The sequence below is a fragment of the Homo sapiens genome, chromosome 1 (assembly GCF_000001405.40).
Source record: "Homo sapiens chromosome 1, GRCh38.p14 Primary Assembly".
Classification (NCBI taxonomy): Eukaryota; Metazoa; Chordata; class Mammalia; order Primates; family Hominidae; genus Homo; species Homo sapiens.
The window spans coordinates 225,428,836-225,447,865 of NC_000001.11; the positions used below are offsets into that span (position 1 = coordinate 225,428,836).

General features: G+C 45.9%; 8 annotated features.

Annotated features, from left to right (window-relative positions):
- Nucleotides 7,095-7,144: an enhancer, noted in NCBI's record as "active region_2620". NCBI's record gives its function as "activates an Ori minimal core promoter by ATAC-STARR-seq in GM12878 lymphoblastoid cells {active_cell/tissue: GM12878}" and the evidence as "EXISTENCE:reporter gene assay evidence [ECO:0000049][PMID:35858748]".
- Nucleotides 7,215-7,374: an enhancer, noted in NCBI's record as "active region_2621". NCBI's record gives its function as "activates an Ori minimal core promoter by ATAC-STARR-seq in GM12878 lymphoblastoid cells {active_cell/tissue: GM12878}" and the evidence as "EXISTENCE:reporter gene assay evidence [ECO:0000049][PMID:35858748]".
- Nucleotides 15,801-15,870: an enhancer, noted in NCBI's record as "active region_2622". NCBI's record gives its function as "activates an Ori minimal core promoter by ATAC-STARR-seq in GM12878 lymphoblastoid cells {active_cell/tissue: GM12878}" and the evidence as "EXISTENCE:reporter gene assay evidence [ECO:0000049][PMID:35858748]".
- Nucleotides 15,975-16,514: a transcriptional cis regulatory region, noted in NCBI's record as "candidate enhancer chr1.11936 targeted for multiplex CRISPR interference". NCBI's record gives its function as "positively regulates LBR gene expression with high confidence in K562 cells {active_cell/tissue: K562}" and the evidence as "EXISTENCE:mutant phenotype evidence [ECO:0000015][PMID:30612741]".
- Nucleotides 16,371-16,420: an enhancer, noted in NCBI's record as "active region_2623". NCBI's record gives its function as "activates an Ori minimal core promoter by ATAC-STARR-seq in GM12878 lymphoblastoid cells {active_cell/tissue: GM12878}" and the evidence as "EXISTENCE:reporter gene assay evidence [ECO:0000049][PMID:35858748]".
- Nucleotides 17,316-17,876: an enhancer, noted in NCBI's record as "NANOG-H3K27ac-H3K4me1 hESC enhancer chr1:225633853-225634413 (GRCh37/hg19 assembly coordinates)". NCBI's record gives its function as "activates a minimal SCP1, AML or CMV promoter by ChIP-STARR-seq in naive H9 embryonic stem cells {active_cell/tissue: H9 hESC(naive)}" and the evidence as "EXISTENCE:reporter gene assay evidence [ECO:0000049][PMID:30033119]".
- Nucleotides 17,877-18,437: an enhancer, noted in NCBI's record as "NANOG-H3K27ac-H3K4me1 hESC enhancer chr1:225634414-225634974 (GRCh37/hg19 assembly coordinates)". NCBI's record gives its function as "activates a minimal SCP1, AML or CMV promoter by ChIP-STARR-seq in naive H9 embryonic stem cells {active_cell/tissue: H9 hESC(naive)}" and the evidence as "EXISTENCE:reporter gene assay evidence [ECO:0000049][PMID:30033119]".
- Nucleotides 18,438-18,997: an enhancer, noted in NCBI's record as "NANOG-H3K27ac-H3K4me1 hESC enhancer chr1:225634975-225635534 (GRCh37/hg19 assembly coordinates)". NCBI's record gives its function as "activates a minimal SCP1, AML or CMV promoter by ChIP-STARR-seq in naive H9 embryonic stem cells {active_cell/tissue: H9 hESC(naive)}" and the evidence as "EXISTENCE:reporter gene assay evidence [ECO:0000049][PMID:30033119]".

Genomic DNA, 19,030 nt, shown 5'->3' on the forward strand with positions numbered 1-19,030 from the left:
AAGCCTGGTTTTAATTGAACCCCAAAATGCTGAGTCATGTCATTGTTGACTCCGAATCTGTTACGGATCCTAAGCTTTTTTTTTTCTGCTAGTTTTCATTATCGGTTAGTTGATTTCCTTCCTTTGAGGTCGAGAGTTTAAAGCAGTCCATTGAAGTTCCCTATTTTGCAGTGTGGTTTTAATCAAAGTATTTCTTAACACCCTAACTAGGTATATTTAAGTGAATTGCTATTTTGGAAGCATTATTAAATTGTAATAATGAATAGAACTTTTCATCTATAGCCTAGCTTCAGCTTTCATTTTCTCATAGAACTACAAAACACCCAGGTTTACTTCTTAAAAAAAAAAAAGTGAAAATACATCGAGTTTTCTCAGTCATTCACATGCAGTGTGAATGAGTTCATCAGAGCCTTTCCTGAGAAGTTCTGACATCAAATTGTCATTGCCATCGAATTTGCCCTTGGTGGAGATCTGTGCAACAGAAATGCACATCGCACTCCAAAGTCAGAAAATCTTTTATTTTTGACAAACCCCCAAGTCTCAATTGTCTTAACCCTTGACATAAGATAATATTAGTCCTACCTCATAGAGTTTTGCAGTAAATTACACAGAAATAAAAGCGCTTATGGGGACCTAAGACAGATCCTATCCCAAATAGCCAAGCAGTGAGTGCTACACTATTCTTTTCTCATATGTTCTACCCAGAATCAAGATTTCACTGGATTTCCCTTGAGGTGCACATTTCCTGGATGATTTCCACTTGTGAAATAGAAGAAGATTCGTTTCAAAAAAAAAAAAAAAAACACCTGGCCAGGCGCCGTGGCTCACGCCTATAATCCCAGCACTTTGGGAAGCCGAGGCGGTTGGATCACCTGAGCAGGAGTTCGAGACCAACTTGGCCAACATGGTGAAACCCCATCTCTACTAAAAAAATACAAAAATTAGCTGGGCACGGTGGCGAGCACCTGTAGTCCCAGCTACTCGGGAGGCTGAAGCAGAAGAATCGCTTGAACCTGGGAGGTGAAGGTTGCAATGAGCTGAGATCATGCCACTGCCACTCAGCCTGGGCAAGAAGAGCGAAACTCTGTCTCAAAAAATAAATAAAATAAATTTTTAAAAATTTTAAGAACCTTATTTTAAAGATCAGGTTTATAAAGTCTCATCATAACAAAATGAAGCCAAAACTTTGTAAATTAACTAGAGTTAGCTTAGCTAACATTTTACCTAATAAATTACTAATGACATTTTTAAAACAAAACTGATTTGACATCAGGAAAACTAAGCAATAATTTTTGTTCATTTCTACTTCGTGGACTCAAACATACCATGAACAATCAGATCTATATGTAGGCTGCTTTCTCAACAAAGGAACTGTTTGGTATTTTTCTCTTCTTTTTTAAGTCTACTAAAGGCTGTGTAAACTTGGAAGTGGGGAATTTTCAGAAAGTTCTCAGAAAGATGCTTGTCACTCACAACTAGCAAGTTGTGGGTTTTCAGAATCTATAAAGTAAAAGTCACTTAAAAGTCCGCATCTTGGCACCATTGTTGTTAATGAGGCCATGAGTGGCAAAGCCCCTTTCCCCATTCACATAACAAAAGCAAAGCAAAACCCTTCAGTCCTGCCACTAAAGCCAACCAAAACACACATGCGGCCAGGAAGCTTTCATATATAAAATACAGGAACCCCCAGCGGAATGCATTCCAATGTGGCAGTTATTTGGCTCTGGTCTCCAGAGGATCTCGGTTCCCAGGATTGAAACATCTCTTTCAGGAAAGACGTGTAGGTAAAGTTTCACGTGGCGTGAGATCCAGTTGGATTCTTTTGGTACTGTTACATAAGGAACAAACTTCTGTATGCTGCAAACTGCAGAAAGCCTTTATTCATAAGGTAGAGGTACCTCAAAAGCTGTCCGATAAAAACACATTTCTACTGATGATGTTTGATATGGTTTCTATTCACACAGAAATGGAGCTCACAATTAACATGATGCATTATGTCCATCTCAATAGCAATTTAAAAATTATTTGAAACTTCTTCTACATACTATATGTATGTTTGCAGCACTTATCCTCTTTTTTTTTTTTTTTTTTTTTTTTGAGATGGTGTCTCCCTCTGTCACCCAGGCTGGAGCGCAATGACACGATCTTGGGTCACTACTGCCTGTGCCTCCTGGGTTCAAGCAATCTTCTCACCTCAGCCCCGAGTAGCTGGGATTACAGGTGCACGCCACCATGCCCAGCTAATTTTTGTATTTTTAGAAGAGATGGGGTTTGGCCGTGTTGGCCAGGCTAGTCTCCAACTCCTGACTGCAAGTGATCTACCCACCTCGGCCTCCCAAAGTGCTGGTGAGAGGTGACAGCGTGCTGGCAGCCCTAGCAGCCCTCGCTCACTCTCTGCACCTCCTCGGCCTCGGCGCCCACTCTGGCCGCTCTTGAGGAGCCCTTCAGCCTGCCACTGCACTGTGGGAGCCCCTCTCTGGGCTGGCCGAGGCCGGAGCGGGCTCCCTCACCTTGCGGGGAGGTGTGGAGGGACAGGCGTGGGTGGGAACCAGGGCTGAGCACTGGGCTTGCAGGCCAGTGCAAGTTCCAGGTGGGCGTGGGCTCGGCAGGCCCCGCACTCGGAGCGGCTGGCCGGTTCCGCAGGCCCCAGGCAGTGAGGGGCTTAGTACCCAGGCCAGCAGCTGCGGAGGATGCGCTGGGTCTCCCAGCAGTGCCGGCCTGGCCCACCAGCGCTGTGCTGGAATTCTCGCTGGACCTCAGCTGCCTCCCCGCAGGGAAAGGCTGGGGACCTGCAGCCTGCCATGCCTGAGCCTCCCCCACACCATGGGCTCCTGAGCGGCCTGAGCCTCCCAGATGAGCGCTGCCCCCTGCTCCACGCGCCCGGTCCCATTCCGACCGCCCAAGGGCTGAGGAGTAGTGTGGGCACAGGTCGTGGGACTGGCGGGCTCCCTGATGCAGGATCCACTAGGTGAAGCCAGCTGGGCTCCTGGGTCTAGCGGGGACTTGGAGAACCTTTATGTCTAGCTAAGGGATTGTAAATACACCAATCAGCACTCTGTGTCTAGCTCAAGGTTTGTAAATGCACCAATCAGCACTGTGTATCTAGCTAATCTGGTGGGGACTTGGAGAAACTTTATGTCTAGCTAAGGGATTGTAAATACACCAGTCAGCACTCTGTGTCTTGCTCAGGGTTTGTGAACACACCAATCAGCCCCCTGTGTCTAGCTCAAGGTTTGTAAGTGCACCAATCAGTGCTCTGTGTCTAGCTAATCTAGCAGGGACTTGGAGAACCTTTATGTCTAGCTAAGGGATTGTAAATACACCAATCAGCACTCTGTGTCCAGCTCAAGGTTTGTAAATGCACCAATCAGCACCCTGTGTCTAGCTCAGGGTTTGTGAATGCACCAATCAGTGCTCTGTGTCTAGTTAATCTAGTGGGGACTTTGAGAACTTTTGTGTCTAGCTCAGGGATTGTAAACATACCAATCAGCACCCTGTCAAAACAGACCAATCAGCTCTCTGTAAAATGGACCAATCAGCAGGATGTGGGTGGGGCCAGATAAGGGAATAAAAGCAGGCTGCCCAAGCCAGCAGTGGCAAGATGCTCAGGTGTCTTTCCACTTTGTGGAAACTTTGTTCTTTTGCTGTTTGCAGTAAGTCTTGCTGCTGCTCACTCTGCATCTGCATTGCGTTTATGAGTTGTGACACTCACTGTGAAGGTCTGCAGCTTCACTCCTGAGCCAGTGAGACCACAAACCCACCAGAAGGAAGAAAAGTCTGAACACATCTGAACATCCGAAGGAACAAATTCTGGACACGCCACCTTTAAGAACTGTAACACTCACCGTGAGGGTCCGCGGCTTCATTCTTGAAGTCAGTGAGACCAAGAACCCACCAATTCTGGACACACTGGGCTTACAGGCATGAGCCACGATGCCCAAGCCTATTTAAACATTCTCAATATTAAACATTTATTTGTTAATACATAAATTAGAAGGGGAAACTATTTGAATAGATGGAGCAAGTATACTGCTTCAGTGGAGGAACTTAGAAGATGTGGGATATGTGTGCTTTAATGACTTGTTGATAGAGGGAAAACAGCAGCAGGATATGAGGTAATAATAATGATAAATAATCTTTGTTCAGTTTTTACTTCGCCCCCAGCTGTTGCTCAAAGTGCTCCCTGTGTTCTAACTGATTTACCCTCATAAAAGCTGTCCCAGGTAGGTGATCTTATAGCTGAAGAAACTGAGGAGGTATGGGGAGGTTAATACTTCCCCAGACTTATCCAAGGCAGTGTGATTCCATTGTCTCCCAAACCAACTAGCAAAGTGCAGGAGTTCTCAAGGTATGGTCCCTGCTCAGCAGCAGAGCTTCTCCTGGGGGCTTGTTAGAAATGCAGCTTCTGGCTGGGTGCGGTGCGTCATGCCTGTAATCCCAGCACTTTGGGAGGCCGAAGTGGGCGGATCACTTAAGGTCAGAAGTTCAAGACCAGCCTGGCCAACATGACAAAACCCCATCTCTAATAAAAATACAAAAATTAGCTGGGCATGGTGGTGCATGCCTGTAATCCCAGCTACTCAGGAGGCTGAGGCAGAAGAATCACCTAAACCCAGGAGGCGGAGGTTGCAGTGAGCCGAGATTGTGCTGCTGCACTCCAGCCTAGGCGATAGAGCAAAACTCCATCTGAAAGAAAGGAAGAAAAAGAAAGAAAGAAATGCAGCTTCTCAGGTCCGCTCCTGAAGCTTGAAGCTTGGGGTGGGCTCAGCCATCCAGCTCTCCAGAGGATTCTGATAGAAGCAGGCTCCAGTTGGAGAACCTCTGGCGAAAAGATAGGTCATGGTGACCGTAATGATTTATTTTCCTTCACGGTTTCCTATCTGAGGCTTTAAACCACTTACTTGATTTATAGAAAGGAATACTAGAAAGCTGTTCTGAAGCTTGTGCAGCACCCGAGTGTCTTCCCAAAGGACTGATGATATGTTGAGCCTTAGATTAATAAGAGTCCATACCTGCTGGCCAGGCTGAAGAGACTGGCCAAGAGGTAGGGGGGTAGGGAGAGGGGGCTGTCAGGGATGGGAGTGGCTGCCACCATACAGCCTTCTCCTCCTCTCTGGCCAGAGCATCATGAGATTAACTGCTCTGGCAAAGTGTGCTCTCTTGTTTTGGAAAACTATTTCTTTACTGGCTGTAGAATTAATGTATTCTGAAAACTTCTAAGGAAATTTACTTTTTAAAAAATAATAATAAAGAATTAAAACTAAGGGTAAAGGACATTTAAACTGAATGAGGACACTGAGAATCAGAAAGATCACACAGTGTGTGGCAAGCTGTGCTTCAAACCAAGTTTTTCCGGACTCCAAAGCATATGTTCTCATCATAGGTTCTAGAGCAGGCACCTGCGTTAGCAAGACGGTCAGATGCATAAGCACATGCAACCTTGATTTACGTTACTTATTGCCAGCCAGAAAGAGGAACAGAATTCAGTACCAGAATTTACTAGATTATAATTCTAGTGAAACCAGGTCTATGTTGCTTTTGTTGATAGTTCTTGGCACATAATAGGTGACTATTTGTTGAATTAATTGATTGATTTGGTGATCGATTGATTAGGTGGAGAGAAGGAGGGAGACAATTCTAAGATTGATCCAACACTCAGTACAAGGAGAAATTAGTGAAGACCAGCCTGGCTGGGGTGGAGTAACAGCTCATAATAGGAAAAAACTATGAGAATGATGTCAATATCATTCGATCTATCAAAAGATCCTCCTACCTCAACTAAAGGGCATAGAGTGACCATGGAAGTGACACTGGGCCAGGAATGCAGTGTCTGAAGCTCCAGGGCTGCCACTCAGCCCTTATCCAGCAAGTTATCCAGGTCCTGATTTCCTCATCTGTAAAATGGGGATAAAAAGTACCCATTCTGGCCAGGTGCGGTGGCTCACACCTGTAATCCCAGCACTTTGGGAGGCCAAAGCAGGCAGATCACTTGAGGTCAGGAGTTTGGCCAGCCTGGCTAACATGGCGAAACCCCGTCTCTACTAAAAATACAAAAATTAGCCAGGCGTGGTGGTACATGCCTGTAATCCCAGCTACTTGGGAGACTGAAGCAGGAGAATTGCTTGAACCCGGGAAGCAGAGGTTGCAGTGAGCCAAGATCCCTCCACTGCACTCCAGTCTGGACGACAAGAGTGAAACTCTGTCTCAAAAAAAAAAAAACAAAAAAGTGTACCCATTCTGCACAAGGTACACTAGGTAATTGTGAGGATTAAATGCTATATACCTGTTAGAACATATCAGGCAATCATAACCCTTAGTGTAATCATTTTATTTCAAGTTCGTTAAGTCACCATTTTTAGTCAACTATAAATAGATGAAAGAGTGTTTTCAGTAGCAGATGTGTCAATAATGTTTTAATGCGTTTGTTGTTTTTTCTCTAACCGCCTAAATCCTTTGAATCATCCTGTAGTGCACACTTCAACATAAAAGACGTAACTTCGTCTTTTCTTCCATGCTACTCTAACTGAAAAATCTAACCCGCTGGATTAATCTTAAAACTTAAAGGTCCTTGGACTGTTCAGGAAGTGATTATTATTCACATTTATTTTAATGTTTGCTAATTAATAACTGTTTTTTAAAATTCGCCTAAAATGCGTTTGGATAGGTAGAGAGTCCTGAAATATTTATCTGCAGGAAAAAAAAATCAAACTTAGTAACATGACACAGACAAGGCCTTCAAAAACTCACCCTAATGGATTTCTGGTAGGCTCAACATCCTCTTCTCTTTCCAGCACCTGCCTTCTCTTTCCCACCCCCTCCACCCTCAGTTCTACCAAATTTCTGATGAGTCCTCAGATAAGCCTTTTCCTCTCTTGTTGCTTGGAATGCCTCCCCCTTCTTTTGAGAGTGGCCTGTTCTTGCTCATCCCCAGCAAAACTTCCTAGGGCAGTCCCCACATACATCTGTCACTGCCTTCCCATGTTATGGGCATCTGCACTCCTCCCAGGCAGGAAGTATATTTAATTTCTCCTTGTATCTCTCCCCATTAAGTAAATGAATGTGTTCATCATGAAACTGTGTCATATATGTTCTCCTAAAGGTCAGAAGGTAGTAAACGCTCTTGTTCCAGTTACTGAGCTGCCACAGGCTGGACTGAGGCAAGAAGAGATAAAGCCTCCGCTGGCACTGACTGTTCCCACCGGCTGGAGAGGTGCGGAAGCCTATCTTCGGTGTCTCTCTTGCTGTCTGCCACAGGCTCACAGCCCCATGGTGGGGACTCTGCTGTGCTTAAATACCCTTTTCTCCACCTGGGTTGCCACCATCTCTCTTAATTCAGAATATGTAACTAAATGTTTCTTTTTAAAACCTACAGGGAACACAGGTGCATGGCTTGTTTTGGCATGGTTGCTAAAACTGCGAGTCCCAGAGGGCAGCCTTCTTCCCCACCTCCCACCCAAAGTCTACATTCAGAGGCAGACGGGGGCTCAATTGTGGAACAGAAAGTACCATCTAGGTAACATGTAATTACCATGTTGCTTCCCTTCTGGACAAGATAAGGCTCAGCCCATCAGTGTTAATGTTTAGCACTTCATGTCTGTTCAGCAATTGCTCCCACTCTATCAACAAAACTACACCATACCCTTTAGGAAAAGTGTGTAGCAACTACAGTTGGCATCAGAACAATGGAGAAAGAGAAGGAGAGGGAAGGGGACTCATTTCTAATGAGGCCCTGTTCTGTGTCACTTACCAGTCCTTACCTTATTTATGGCTCAAATCAACTCAACAAAATAGGCATCACCCCCTCTTTCAGGACGAGGAAACTGAGACTCAGGTCAGCAAAGTTGCAATACAGCGCACCCACCAAATTGGGGCTGGAAAAGAAATTCTAACCCAGTTCTCTGGATTCCAAAGCATATGTTCTTTCTACCCTCCAAACCCATTAGGGTCCCCAAGCAGCCTCTTAGCTCCCTTAGCCATTGACTTCCGGTCGCCACACACAATTCATATTACATGATCCCACTGTCAATGTCAGCTGGAGACATCCCAGGCTAATGAGAATATAGCTTGTGGGCGTTTTGTCTACATTTCTGGAGCAAAGAACACTCATCCCTGCTCTCTCAAAGAGCACCATGCATGTGAACTTGTCCTTGTCTCTCACCCTTTGATTCTTTCTTCCATGGCTGGTCTATTTTAATTCTGATACCTATTCTGGATTCTGTAGGACTGTCTTTATGTCTTCCTTTCCAGGGACTATCTTAGAATATTCACTTGTAGGTATGATATCAAGGGCAGGATCACTGTAATCTTTGTAGTACACTTAGTACAGTACCCAATGTGATTAAATCTGTTTAAAACACATTTAAGGGGAATAAAATATAAAATATTTGAGATGAATATTTAAAACCAAATTTGCATAATTGTTTTAAATTTTTTCATTTTACTTGAGCAAGAGGTACAACATAAAACCTATTTGGAGCACAGTAGTGTATTGAATCATTTTAGTCATAACACACACCTACATAAATGACTAAAAATATCAATATTTTATCCTTTTAAACAGATGACATATAATTGCAACGTAGATTTATTTGAAAGTTGTACAGAGTTGGCTTGATAGTTATTCAACAACTGTAAGTATTAATTGGCATGAGTATTTCAGCAGAAAAAAACTATATATTCATACTAAGTTGCTGATGATATTTTGCTTGCTTACTTTAGATACAAGAGGCTAGGATCCCAGAAATTTCACTGCTGTAGCAAAGCAAGTCATGTTACTCTGAATTGACAGTTCCCAGTCATTCTCCACGGTAAGTCATATTGCCAAACACAATGCCATTTTTAGGTCTACTTTAATCCTATTTGACTATACAGATATGGTTTTTATTTACTTAGTCCTATGGTTTGAATGTTTGTCTTCGCCAAAATTCATTTGAAATTTAGTTGGCATCGTAACAATGTTGAGAGGTGGGACCTTTAAGAGGTGATCAGGCCATGAGGGCTGCACCCTCATGGGCGGCATTACTGCCATTATAAAAGGGCAGGGTCAGCCCCCTTTCATCTCTTGGCCCTTCCACCTTCTGGCCATGGAGTGACACAGCAAGAAGGCCCTCACCAGAGGCAGGCATTTAGTGCTGTTCATTATAAATTACCTGGTCTGTGTTATTCTGTTATTCAAAAATGTCATTTCTGCAAATATATAGTTCCTCCCTTTTTAAAAAAAAGTTCTACTTCTTTTTTCTATTTTACTTTTACTGATGTTTTGTGTATTCATCTTCCTGGTCCTATAGAGAACTCCTATTGCTCCGTAAGTCAAGGCCAGAACTCCCATCCTGACCAGAAGGAAAGATGCCCAGTTCCCACATCTCCTTTGCTAGGCCTGCCAGAAGGGGGCTCCTCCTCCTGGCCAAGGCAGGCTAGTCAGATCCCTTTGTGTTCATTTTTAAAAAGAAGTGCCATATCCTTAAACATACTTCAGCTGTCCTTGTGCCTGCTGGATAATGTATGAGCTTCTGGAAAAAATTCTTCAGCACTGAACATGAATTTAACAGGATATCGCTCCCTTCTTAAGGTTTTCAAATCATAAAGTCAGATTAGGGATTCCCATTAATAATTAGTCCTCTTTATTACACTCAAAAGGACAACATAAATTCCTGTCAGTTACTTTGAAAATACTTTGCTCATTAATACCTACTCAAACCAACGATAAATACTACTTACAAAAATTCTCTCCTTAACAAAACTCCACCCAGGCTCCTCTCAGCCCTCTTCTCAACTAAGTGCTATCCTTGGACTATAAAGACTTGATCAGGCCGGGTGTGGTGGCTCACGCCCTAATCCCAGCACTTTGGGAGGCCAAGGTAGGTGGATCACCTGAGGTCAGGAGTTTGAGAGCGGCCTGGCCAACATGGTGAAACCCCGTCTCTACTAAAAATACAGAAATTAGCCAGGCGTGGTGGAGCATGCCTGTATTCCCAACTACTTGGAGGCTAAGGCATGAGAATTGCTTGAACCTGGGAGGCGGAGGTTGTAGTGAGCTGAGATCATGCCACTGCACTCCAGCCTGGGCAACTGCCAGAGCGAGACTCTGTCTCAAAAAAAAGACTTGATCAAATGCTAGCATAGTTTCTAACAGCTCAAGGGCCTTCCCTAGGATGGCCCTAGCCCCTCTTAGAATGCCTGCCTGAGAAAACTCGAGGCTGCCCAGGGAATTTACTGTTGGTTCCAGCCAACACCTGAAGACAAGGCCCCCATCTCCCTGCCTCTGTGGGAGGGTAGGAGCCTAACTTCCATAAGCACCAGTAAGTAAACAGATGGGTTGCACATGGACCAACCCCCACTTCCTGCATTTTATAATTTTTTTCACAGACCCTCTTGAGCCCCTGCTCACCCACTCCCTATTCCCTCATCCTCCCTTTTTTTTTCTGAGACAGAGTCTTGCTCTGTCACCCAGGCTGGAGTGCAATAGCGCCGTCTCAGCTCACTGCAACCTCTGCCTCCCGGGTTCAAGCGATTCTCCTGCCTCAGCCTCCCAAGTAGCTGGGACCACAGGTGCATGCCACCATACCCGGCTAATTTTTGTATTTTTAGTAGAGACAGGGTTTCACTATGTTGGCCAGGCTGGTCTCGAACTCCTGAACTCGTGATCTGCCTGCCTCAGCCTCCCAAAGTGCTGGGATTACAGGTATGAGCCACTGCACTCAGCCCATCCTCCCTTTAAAATGCCATCATCTCTGTACACATTGAAGTTGAGTTTGGAGCACACTGGACTTTTTTCCCTATTGCAATAATAATAGTATATTACTGATGAAAGTCTGTCCTTACCGAGTATCCAGGCTTGTTTATCTTTGATACTACCAATCTTCTTTTACTAAAATAAATATTATGATTTCTAAATTTTTTAATCAACTGAGTTATATCAGATATGCTTAGCCAAAGCATGTAGAACCCCATTGAAATTTTGATTTAGCATGCATCCACTAGATTAAGAATTATTGCTCTAAGAGTCTAAATGTATTTGCATCATGCATTTTTTTCAGTACAACATAAAATGGCTTCATATATAATATAGTTCAAAATGTTGTTAATTTCTTCAGGCCAAGGAACATGCAAACAAATGAAGAACTCTTCCGATTTCCTAGGGAAAATACGGTTTGAGGATGGCTTAAACATAAAATATTAACAGGAGTTAATTAACATAGAAGCAAGCTGTTACCTCAAGTTGCTTTCATCTCAGCATAATTCAAGGTGGAAGAGAACTGAGCTTCAGAGTCTTCTCTTCCATGGATTGTCCTTTGCAAAGCAAGAAAACATTTTTCCAATGGTGAATGTGTTAGTAAATGCCAGTGAAGCTATAATTAAGTGATCTGGGTTTCCAAGGAGGAAAGTGAAGTTTCAAACCATGTTTACTGTACACAGTTTTTCAGGGCAAGTACTTTGGACACATAAGACACATAAGCTTTTTTTTTTTTTTTTTTAGGGGTCTTGCTGTGTTACTCAGGCTGGAGTGCAGTGGCAATCATAGCTCACTGCAGCCTTGAACTCCTGGGCTCAGGGGATGCTCCTGCCTCAGCCTCCGGAGTAGCTGGGACTGCATTTTTAAAAAGTATAATGCTACATCTACCAGGAAAATAACTCAGGTGGAGGATGGCTTTTTTCCAATGAGAGTCCATGATTGAAAGAGTTAGAGGAATCCTAACTAGCAGAACTGAGTAACAGAAAGCACATGGACTTTGGAGTCAGAAACACCTGCCTTTGAATCCTGGCTTCTGCGCCTGCACTTGAGATCTTAGGCAAGGTACTTACATTTTATTTTCAGACTGTTTCCTTATCTGTAAAATGAGAAAACTAATAATACCTGCCTTTCACAGAGCTATTGTGGGGCTTAAATTTAACAATAAGCAATCAATAAATAGTTCTGATTCATTGCTTTAACCATTCATTCATTCAGCAAATATGTGTCAAACTCTGACAGTGGAAGAAATTTAAAACAAATTCCAGGACTGCCTGGGATTTTTATGTCTATCAAATGGGATTCAGGTTAGTGAGGGAGAGTGAAGAAATGAAGTGCACTGTTCTTGAGGAATTATTTAAAAGGCTTTTCCAAGAGGATCTACGTGGCTGTAGGACATTTAGATGCCTGGAAAGGCCAGTAAGCCAGCTGGGTGTTGCTCAGAACACGGCCTCCCACAGCAGGAGACAATTTCCCAGTTCTCTGAATTAGTACTTTGGCTGGAAAATCAGCACACTATGCCTGATCCCTGGAGCAATGGACTGAGTATATAGTTATAGCTAGATGAGTTCTTTGACATCCCTAAATTGGAAAAATGTCTTTCCTAGAGTTTGGAAATAGCTCAAAACCAAAACCACCATTTTCCCTAAATCTATTTGTAGTGCTTGAGCCACACGTTATTGTAAAATACAAGGGACCAGTTGGCAGGAAGTCTCTTAGACTACTTGAACATGCTCTTTGCCCCTCCATGTACACACCCTGGCCTCCTCTCCGTCCCAGCTTTTAAATACAGTTAGCAGTAAGAACTCCCTGAATTCACACCAGGGCCTTTAAGACCTCACCCACAGGTCAGTAACAACTAAGGATGGATCTGAGGCTATGGGAACAAAGTGCTCACCTCAGATGGCGAGGGGGTGGGAGATGGGTGCATCTACGTTCAGCAATTGGACTTATGGCTCCTGAGGATCACATTGCCACCCACGCCCATGTTGAAATCAACTTGCTTTGTCAGGCCATTGGCTCAGGCATGTTTCATGACAATTTCATTCCCTCTTGGTAAGACCTGGGTCATTTTTGAATGTTTGCAAACGTTAGAAACTCTGAATACCATGGATTAATAATTGATGACGCCCCTGAGCTCCCTCTACTGGCTCTGCCTCAGCCAGCTACAGCAGGGGGTATTTCTGTTTATATTTCTTTCAAGAAAAGAGTAATTTATAATCCACAAGCAGGGATGATAAGGCAAAGACATAAAAAATGGAGGATTTTTTTAAGTAGTTGGAAGTTGGTGGACACTCCCGGGCAGGCTTTACACTTCCAAGGCAGAAGTCTGAGTTGCGTGTCCTGCTCTTGGCCTGGGCAGATGGTGCACAGCTCAGGAACCCTTCTAGAATGTCATTACTGTGTGCAGATAAAACTGAAAGCAAAGGGGCTGGAACCCTTTCCGTTTGTTCTGCACCTGAAGGAGTTCAGAGAGAATAAAACAATATCTGGGCCATTTTTTTTTTCTGTTTCAAGTCTCTAAACAGAAAGAACAACAACAACAAAAAAAAAAACTGATTTGTACGGGAATCACTCCAGGCATGACAGGATCAGGAGGTACTTTATCCTGAGGTTCCTCTGAGCCATTAATTGCCATGCTGAAGGTGAAGAAACTGAAAGAATGGTTGAATGACCTGCTCCGGTTGACACAGGGAATGAGTGCCTTCTCCTCTGCAGAAGGAGGAACACCCTCCACCATGATGCTCTCCAAAACACCTGCACAGAGCACCCTGCTGGATGCCAGAGCCCTGTGAGGGCTTCCTGGTGCAGGTGAGGCCCGGCACAGCCAGCAGAAGGACTTATCCTGGCTAACAAAGACTTGTGTTACATGTCCCCCTTCAAAACTGGTGCCACATGTCTGTGTGACCTACCTGCTGGCCTCTCACTGCTAACTGAAGACAGGCACTATTTCCCCACCATAGTGGTCTTTTTGTCCTTCTCATGATTTATTGGATGCATAAAACAAACACATGAGCTGGCTCACACCTGTAATTCCAGGACTTTGGGAGGCCGAGACGGGCAGATCACGAGGTCAGGAGTTCAAGACCCATCTGGCCAACATAGTAAAACCCCATCTCTACTAAAAATACAAAAAATTAGCTGGGCATGGTAGCAGGCACCTGTAATCCCAGCTACTCAGGAGGCTGAGGCAGGAGAATCCTGTGAACCCGGGAGGCAGATGTTGCAGTGAGCTGAGATCACGCCACTGCACTCCAGCCTGGGCAACAGAGCAAGACTCTATCTCAAAACACACACACACACACACACACACACACACACACACACACACACACACGGAGGGCCAAAAAAAAATGGTAAGGAAGAAGAAGAATGGAGGCAGAAAAGATGCCACCCTGGAGAGGTGACCTGGCTGCTGTGGTAACGTGGACATGCTCAGCGCGTTTCAGGACTGTTAGGTTTCAGGGTCTGCCCACCTGCCTCTCCTGAGAGGGGGGCGACAGAGAGCTGGCTGCGTGCAGGGCTCTCCTGGGAATCTGGGCTCTCAGCCAGGCCACCCCACAGAAGTGTTCAGGGGCAGGGAGTTGTATATCCTGGAATGACTATTTAGAAAGGATATAACAGAGGGGAGAGAAAAATAAGGAAATGTGAGGAGTTAGGTCAATGCTTGCCCCTTCCCACGGGCCCACCCATGGTAACGCTGTGGCTCGCTGCAGGCCAGCCAGTATCTGGGAATACAGAGACGCATGATAGTGTCTTTCTACTCTGATTACAACTCCACTAGGTGCCAGCATTTTGCATGCAATCGCTCTATTAATCCTTTCAATGTCCTTGTGAGATAGGTCCATTTATCCCCATTCCACAGGTGAAGAAACTGAAAGAATGGTTGAATGACCTGCTCCGGCTGACACACGGAGTGAGTGGCTGAGCTGGGAAGAGAGACCAGTGGCGTGTAACTCAGAGTCCACGGTGTGTGATGTATGAAGGACTAAGAGAGACCAGTCAGGAGCAGCCGGAATCCCATCTGGAGCCTAAAGAGTTGTCTTTGGTGTAGAAAGTGTCTACCCCACCCCTAATTATATATCCAGTGAAGGCTGTTGCTTAACGTGGCTGTTGGCTCATAAACTGTAAGCACTATGAGAGCAAGTCTTTTCATCTGTGACCTCGATGTCCCCCTTGGTGCCATGGGCTGTGCCCATGTGCGCTAAATACACATGATCAGCCTATTGCTGTTTGGCCAGCTGTCTTTTTTTTTTTTTTTTTTTTTTTTTTTTTTGAGATGGAGTTTCGCTCTTTTTGGCCAGGTTGGAGTGCCATGGTGCAATCTCAGCTTACTGCAACCTCCACCTCCTGGGTTCAAATGATTCTCCTGCCTCAGCCTCCCAAGTAGCTGGGATTACAGGCATGCACCACCATGCCAAGCTAATTCTGTATTTTTAGTAGAGATAGGGTTTCACCATGTTGGCCAGTCTGGTCTCGAACTCCTGACCTCAGGTGATCCGCCTACCTCTGCTCCCGAAGTGCTGGGATTACAGATGTGAGCCACCATGCCCAGCCACCCAGCTGTCCTTTTAGGACACTTTCTGTACTCTCTGTAATAACAGAAGTCCCACACCAGGGCTGACTTTATAGAACCCTAGTTCCAAACTCTCTTAGTTCTGTCAGGAAAGCATTTGCATTTTTTTTTCTCCCCCGAGACAGGGTCTTGCTCTGTCACCCATGCTGGAGTGCAGTGGTGTGATAGCTCACTGCAGCCTCAAACTCCCCCAGCTCAAGCAATCCTCCCACCTCAGCCTCCCAAGTAGCTGAGACTACAGGCATAAGCCACCACACCTAGCCAGAAAAACTCTTTCTTTCTTTCTTTCTTTTTTTTTGAGATGGAGTCTTGCTCTGTCACCCAGGCTGGAGTGCAGTGGCTCGATCTTGGCTCACTGCAATCTCTGCCTCTCAGGTTCAAGCAATTCTCCTGCCTCAGCCTCCCAAGTAGCTGGGATTACAGGCATGCGCCATCACGCCCAACTAATTTTTGTATTTTTAGTAGAGATGGGGTTTCACCATGTTGGCCAGGCTGGCCTCGAACTCCTGACCTCAGGTGATCTACCAGCCTTGGCCTCCCAAAGTGCTGGGATTACAGGCGTGAGCCACCGCACCCGTGCCAGAAAAGCTTTTTTCTTAATAGCTCCCCTGGGAACCTCAGTTCTACCACCGAAGGTATACAATCACTCCAACAGATAACAAATCGACATTGTCGTGCATAAATGTAGAGCTGATCCGTATTTCATGTCAAAGGCCTGGACTGTGTGAAATTGGCTGGTATTTGTTCCAGAAGCACTTGTTCATGTTGAAGATGGGGCAGTTCTGAGTGGGTTAGCAGGCTGACGAGCTTGGCTCAGAAGCCGCTCACTATTGTTTGGGCTTTGCTTTTGACTTCACATCCTGAAATAAATGGTCGTTGCAGACCAGGCACGTGAGCAGGAAGTGGGCAGGGCTTAAAACACAGAGAAGTCATAACCTCTGCGGTTTGGTTCATGTTGTAATATGAAAACCAGGAAGCTTATCTTGCAGGAGGCTGATGTGTAAAAGTTCAGAATGGAGTGGAGCCCTCCCTCTTGGCACCCTATGCGCGGAGTCACCCTTTGTCTGCCACAGGAAGCACCCAGGTCCTGGCAGCTAGAAAACTGTAACAACTTGGAAACATTTCCCAAAATGTCATCATGGCATCAAAATGAGACAATCAATTTCTTGCAAAATTGTTTGCAAGAATACAATTTGATCAAAAGTAGAGTTAGACTTTTTTTTTTTTAAGACAGTTTCGATCTTGTTACCTAGGCTAGAGTGCAATGGTGATCTCTGCTTACTGCAACCTCTGCCTGCCAGGTTCAAGCGATTCTCTGCCTCAGCCTCCTGAATAGCTGGGACTACAGGTGTGCGCCACCATGCCCAGCTAATTTTTGTATTTTTAGTAGAGACGGGGTTTCACCATGTTGGCCAGGCTGGTCTGAAACTCCTGACCTCAGATGACCTGCCTGCCTCGGCCTCCCAAAGTGCTGGATTGTAAGCGTGAGCCACTACGCCCAGCCGAGTTAGACTTTCTCTAAGAACAGCCCCTCTGTGTGTTTTAACTTAAGTGAGAAACAACATGGGTGAGTCAGTGGTTGAAGGCAAGAGAGACACGGGAGAGACACTGATGCCCTGTCCATCCCTTCTCTGGGCCTCAGGGCATTCCAGCAGGTAGAGAACTCCACCCTCCTGCCTGCCTATCAGTCTGCTTGGTCTTGAAAGTCTGCTGCACAGAGTGGGTAGTGGCCATCTGAATCAGTGCTAACACAAAAGCTAGACAGCAATGCTTACAGGCTAGCCAGGAAAATGTTTTTACCAGAAAATTGCTTGAGAAGAGAACACAGAGTTTCAGTAGGGACATGACGATTGAGGATGGAAATGCTTGGTGAAGCAGAACATCCTGGCGTAGCCACAAGAAAACACAATAACCTTAAGGCAGTCACTCGAAGGCATCCTGGAGCCCCAGGCAGGGAGCATTTCACTTCACCAAGGCGTCTGGGGCCATCAAGTGGGAGAAAAAACTGAAGCCTAAAGCTCCTGCTACTGCTCTCTGAGCTCCCAGATCCCTGTACCTGACACCTGCCACACCTGGCTCGGCAGGTAACTAAGACTGGAAGAACCAGATGAGGAGTGGCTCTGCCACACTTATTTGAGAAAATGTCTGAGTAGTATCTGTCCAGCTAGGTCTTCCTGAGTTTCCCATGGCTCTTAAAGATTAGACATCATTAACTGAGTTTCCCAGCAGCACACCTGCCTGAGGTAGATTACAGTGTGGACTATTCCCTGTGAGAAGCTTCCTGCAGCATAGCGCCAGGGAAGGGCTAACCAAGATCGTGTCTTTGCAAAACACCTTTCAGACTGCAGCACCCCCAGGGTGAACTTCAGAGTCACTTTGATCTCAATTAGCATTCTTGGATATTATAAACAAACACCTAGACTCCCAGGGAGGGGAAAATCAGTACCCCAGGAAAATCACAGGAGATGGAGTTCTCAGGGCTTTATCACAGGCTGGCCATCGAAAGCCACAGGGAGCCCTCAGGCTAGCCAGGGTCACATCTCACCTCTGCCCAGCCACCCCAGGTGTTTCCTAGAAGCCCCCCCTTTTCCCGCTTTGGCCTGCCTGGCTCTTTTTGGCTTCTGAAAACAAAGAGAGGAGCTGTGTGCAGTCAGCCTGAGACACGTGGGAAGATGGTTGCTGCCCCTGCTGGCCCTAAAGCTCCAGAAAGCCAATGCCACCGTGCAGGCGGTGGAGAGCATATTCTGATATGGGAGGAGGAGGCGTCCGCAGACCCCTAGTTCCTAACTTTGGGTCATGGCCAAGGGACCTCCTGGGGAAAACTGCGTGCTAGAGAGCCGGTGAGCATATCTTAAGTTAGGCCCAAAGGGGACTGGGTGGGTTTCTTCCTCCAGCACCCCTGCTCTTCCCAAGAGGAGCCCCTTTCCTTCCCTGAGCTTCCCCTTCCCAGGCTCCTGTTTTGACAGGATGCCTGGGTCTGATCACAGCCACAGGCCCGTTTTGGGCTGTGTTCCCCCTGGAGTGTATTGGCCAAGGAATTCCTGGAGCATTTGAAGAAAGGCCCCTTCCCAGGGGCAGTATTCCTCCTGTAATTAAAAGGTTGCATTTCAAAGACACTTTTAATGACCCCAACCGTTGTTGCCAGAAAGAAAATGCTACAGAAGACGTGACTGACAGATTGCAGGGAGAGTGTTCAGCCCAGTGCTGGTGCAGATCCCCGTGAGGACACAGGAGCAGGGGGTTTTGTCATCTTGAGGACCCATAGCTGACCGATGTTCATGCACGCAGGAGCATGTGTACCAGGCACCGGTCTAGTGGGAGAGTCAGAGGAGGTTGCAGCGGGCACAGAGTGGGCATGCTGTGATGGAGGCCAGGCGCCTGCAGGGGAGGACATCCTTATCTATGGGACCTGGCAGGTAGAGGGGAAGGCACTCCCTAGGGAAGGGCCAGAACAGACCTTAGAAGGGTGTATACTTGGGATTTAGATGAAGGAGAAACCTCCTTTCCTCTCACTTCCCTCTCTCCTTGTTCTTCCCTCCCCGAGGGCCCCTCCTAACCCACTCCACTGCACAGCCTGCAGCTTGGCCAGAGTTCCTTCCCTACCAGGACTCACTGTCTCGCTGGGGCCTTGAACCCTCTCCCCCCACCAAATAAGGTGCTGGTCTGGAGCTGAGCACACACCACAGTGGCCAGTTATGGTCAGTCTGTCACTCTGTTCCTTCTCA